The sequence below is a fragment of the Homo sapiens genome, chromosome 1 (assembly GCF_000001405.40).
Source record: "Homo sapiens chromosome 1, GRCh38.p14 Primary Assembly".
Lineage (NCBI taxonomy): Eukaryota > Metazoa > Chordata > Mammalia > Primates > Hominidae > Homo > Homo sapiens.
In genome coordinates, this window is record NC_000001.11 from 175,225,022 (window position 1) to 175,229,581 (window position 4,560).

At 44.7% G+C, this 4,560-nt stretch overlaps 2 annotated features.

The window, feature by feature from the left end:
• Positions 440 to 519: an enhancer, noted in NCBI's record as "active region_2133". NCBI's record gives its function as "activates an Ori minimal core promoter by ATAC-STARR-seq in GM12878 lymphoblastoid cells {active_cell/tissue: GM12878}" and the evidence as "EXISTENCE:reporter gene assay evidence [ECO:0000049][PMID:35858748]".
• Positions 730 to 779: an enhancer, noted in NCBI's record as "active region_2134". NCBI's record gives its function as "activates an Ori minimal core promoter by ATAC-STARR-seq in GM12878 lymphoblastoid cells {active_cell/tissue: GM12878}" and the evidence as "EXISTENCE:reporter gene assay evidence [ECO:0000049][PMID:35858748]".

The following is a 4,560-nucleotide window of genomic DNA, read 5'->3' on the forward strand; positions in this document are numbered from 1 at the left end:
GTTGAGTGTTGTGCTAAGGAGTTAAGACTTCCTTCTGAAGGTAATGGGGGGCTATTCACTGTTTTTAGGACAGGACACACACACACACACACACACACACACACACACACACACTCACCCTATATAGCCCATTGGTTCGGTTTCCCTGAAGAATGCTGACTAACACAGCAATGAAGGATTGCCTTCCGGCAATGCAAATGCATGAAGGAAGAATGGTGGTCAGAGGCCAGTATAAGAGCCTTGGTAACAGCTGGATGAGGACTGAACCATTGCAGAGGCAGTGGGAATGGATACAAGGGCACTCATTGGAGAGGTTTGGAAGGCAGAACCTGATAACAGATAGGAGTAATTTTGGTTGGCATGGGAGGAAGTCAATCAGGAGATTATCCCTATTTTAACACTCAGCATGTTCTACTTTGAAGCGACTCTTTCTTCTATGTCCCCCAGGTCCCATCTAGATTGAAGGTTCGTTAAAGACAGTCAGAGCTTTCATCTTTGCGTGCCCCTCAGCCTTCAGCACAGAGCTCTGGCCAGGTGAGTGCCATATATAAATGTTAGTAACGATGAAGTGACCCCAGGAGGATAGGCCGGGGCATGCAAATCACATGGGAGAGGGTCTGTTTGTCTCTGTGTGGGCGTGCCACCTGGCACCTGAAGTGAAAATCTGCAAAGCACACGTGTGGTACAGAGGAGCCTGTGTGGGAAATCCCTTCTTGACACCCATGAGCGGTCACCTCATTAGCATCCCCAGAATGGTAGAGGGAGGGAGCCTGATCAGTAACAGGAGGCCAGGAAGGTCCTCCTATTCATCCTATTCTGGGCTGGGGAAGACAGGTGGGCCAGGATTCCTGCTTGAGGGGAGCACAGGTCCTGGCCACTCACTGGCCTAGGAATCACCACCTATGGACATCACAGGAGCCACAAAAGGATGTGGAAGTTATCATTGGTGATAAGTTCCCGGGGTCACCTGCAGGGGCATCTGTCTGGCAGGATGAGGGCTAAACATTCTCTTCTTTTATATTTGATTTACTTTTTTTAGAAAAAGTAATGCATGTAGAAAATTTTTAGAGTATTTGAAAGTCCATACAATTAAAAAGATAAATAAAAACACCCATTGTCCTCCCAGAAAAGACAGCTTTAGCCAAATTTTCATGATTGTAAAGCAGCATGTCTTTTCCATACATATCAGGTATATATATTATTTGTCATATATATGGCGTACCATATACCATACTGCATATATGGCCACTTCCAAGTAGATGGTGCTTTTCATTTTTTCAGTTAATCACCAGGGTGCACTTTTATCCTTATTTGTAGGAAGTCCAGGATCTCATGAGAAGCCCTTTTCTCTTCCATTGTTCTGAACACCAGGGGGTCACTCAATCCAAAGTGAGCCAGACTTTTGGCTCAAACACAGTAGGTGACAAAGCAGGGTCTGATCCAATGCAGCTTATTTTTCCTGCTGCCACATGGTATCCCTGTTGAAAACTATTTGCCAATCCCATGGCATCTTCAAAGTTCTAGGCTATTGTCAGTACTGTTGAACCCACACTTAGGCTGCAAGGGTACAGCTCCCTAAGTTCACACTGTCACTCTCAAACATTGCTCCCAAAGGACTACCATGAGTTCTGATGGCTGCACTATGAGCCTCTTTCTGCCTCAGCCACACACTCTCCCAGAGTTGATTCATACCCATAAGCCTCAGGCCCCAGTGATAAGTCTGAGTCCCCAGCATGGCATCCCTTCACTCCTCTTGTCTTTGGGGCCTTTAGGATCCTCTCCTGCCAACAAAACATGGTCAGGCCACTCCTGCTTCTGTAATTTTAAATCTTGGATAGAAAGGTGTAGGAGTCTAGGTTACTTCCTTTCCAAAAGATTCCGAATGCCATATGCCAATTGGTCCTTCTTTTCCCCAGAAATCAGCTCTGCATGTTGAGGAATATTTGTTAGGCTACAAAAGATTTAATTCCATTGTTCTCCAAGGAATGTGCCAAACAACTAAGATCTCCTCTAAGGTGTCAGAGAGGATAGCCACAATAGATAGTTGTATGACTGACTGAAAAGTTAGCTGATCTCTCACCTAGGAAGAGAAGCAGGGGCCGCTTTGATGCATGCTTACATAGGGCTTTCCCTTTGGATCCAATAAAATCTACTGCTCTGCCCACCTGAGTGCTGTCCTGGTGATTTGGGCCTCTCTGCACTCAATGGGCAGGCTTGGAATGCCAAACATTGCCTCCCAGGGCATTGATGAAATACTCAGCTCAGCTCTTTCAATCATCAGTTTAAAAAAATGGAAATGCTTCCAAACCTCAGAGCTGAGGATTCACTCTGAATAATAATTTTATGTGAAATTGAGGTACTCTGTTCAGACTAAATCCCACGTCTTATCACTTCTTACCGCCCAGGTTCATGCCACTATCATCACTCATCTGGACAATTACAATAACCTACCAGTTTTTCTGCTTACATGCTTTCCCCTCTGTTGTCTGTGCTTCACACAGCAGCCAGGATAGATGGCTCAAGGACCTCCAGTGCCTTCCGAGAGCACACTAGAATAAAATCCACACTCCCCACTGAGGCATGTGGACCCTCCAGTGTGTGACCCCTGTGAGTCTCTCCAATCTTACCCCTTTCTCTTGTCACTCCAGCCACACTGCCCTTCTTGCTCTTCCTTGAGTAACCAAGCCTGTTTCTTCCCTAGGGCTTTTATTTGTTTTTCCTTTTTCATAGAATGTGCTTCCTTCATTCCTTCACATAGTTCACCTTCTTGATTCATTCAAAGCTGCTCAAAAGTCACTTTTTCAGAGAGGACTTTAAAAATAGACACTGCTTCCTGACCAACGTCCTTCCCTGCTCCCACCTGTATCCCTGGATCACACTATTTTTCTTCATAATTTTTACCATTACCCCCCACATTTTTTTTTTTTTTGAGACAGAGTCTTGCTCAGTCGCCCAGGCTGGAGTGCAGTGGCGTGATCTTGGCTCACTGCAAGCTCTGCCTCCTGGGTTCACGCCATTCTCCTGCCTCAGCCTCCCGAGTAGCTGGGACTACAGGCGCCTGCAACCATGCCTAGCTAATTTTTTTTGTATTTTTAGTAGAGATGGGGTTTCACCATGTTAGCCAGGATGGTCTCGATCTCCTGACCTCATGATCCGCCCACTTGGCCTCCCCAAGTGCTGGGATTACAGGTGTTAGCCACTGTGCCCGGCCTATCCCCCCACATTTTATACTTTATTGATTTGTTTCTTTATGTGTTGTCTGTCTTCCTAGCATTAGAATTGAAGTTCCTTGAGAAAAGGCCATGTTTACCCTTTCCGTGGTGGAGTCCAATGGTCCTAGAGCAGTGCCCTGCACATAGTAGATGCTTAATGAATGTGTTGTACATGAATAAATGAAGGAATGAGATTGTTTATCAAATCAAATAGTCTTTAATCTATTGTTTCTTTAATCTTTTGGGTTTATAAACAGGAATAGTTAGCAATTTGGATAGGGTTTGGCCAGATAGTTCTGTTTCATGTGACACTGGCTGTTGTCATTCATTCATCTGCATTCAGCTGGTGCCTAACATGGGCTGGGAGATCCAAGAAGGCTTCATTCATATGTCTGGTTCCTTGATGCTCTCTACAAGGCCTTTTTTTCTCCATATGGCTAACTGGGCTTTGTTACATCATGGTGGTCTCAAGGTGGTTGGACTTTTTACATAGCAACTGACTTCCAAGAGGGAGCAGCAGTCCACGCACTGAGTTCTAAAATATTACCTACTAGCTTTATGACACTGGAAAAATTATTTCAATTCTCTAGGCTTAAACTTCCTCATAGGTTTAAAGTGATATCTGTATAAGAGGAGAATGGAATCCTAGAACTTCATGACGCCTATGGTAGGGACAGGGTGAGAATTACTTTTCTATTCACTTCCTTTCCACTTACAAGAACTATTGATAAGAGAGGGGTTTCTGACCAGAAGTGCAAGAAAATTGCTATTTCAAAGCTTCATATCATTCAGCCTAGAAAACTCACATTAAAGGGTCGTTCGTGGTTATTGAAGGCAAAGCCCAGGGGCATGAAGTAAGACTAAGGGGATCTAAAAGTGCCCTGCTTAACAAAGTAACAGAAAATTTCTATTTTCTAGCCCTGGAGCCGAGAGAAAAGAGAGAATGAGAGAAAGCTCGCAGTGGGAGGTTGAGATCCCAGGTACATGGCAGCCTTAGGCCTAGGCTCTAGAAGAGGGGGGGTTGGTGAGACTGTGATATTAAACTCCAGCCTGTTTCCTTTTCTGTAATTGCTTCCATTATCACCAAACTATCAGGAAAACTTTGTGTTGGTATTATGTGGAGGCCTAAGGAGAAGGAGCCATATCTAACCTTCAATGAAAGAGGAGAGGAGAGAGGACAACATCTCAGGAGGAAGAGGGAGAGAGGAGGTAAGAGGTGAGCTGACAATAGGAATTTGAAGAACATTTGAACCCATATTAGAAACACTGGAGAAAATATTAGACTTCTCTGACATAGCATGTTACCTAGGGGCTCAGGCTATTTTTTTAGGGGAGGCTGACCCCAGGA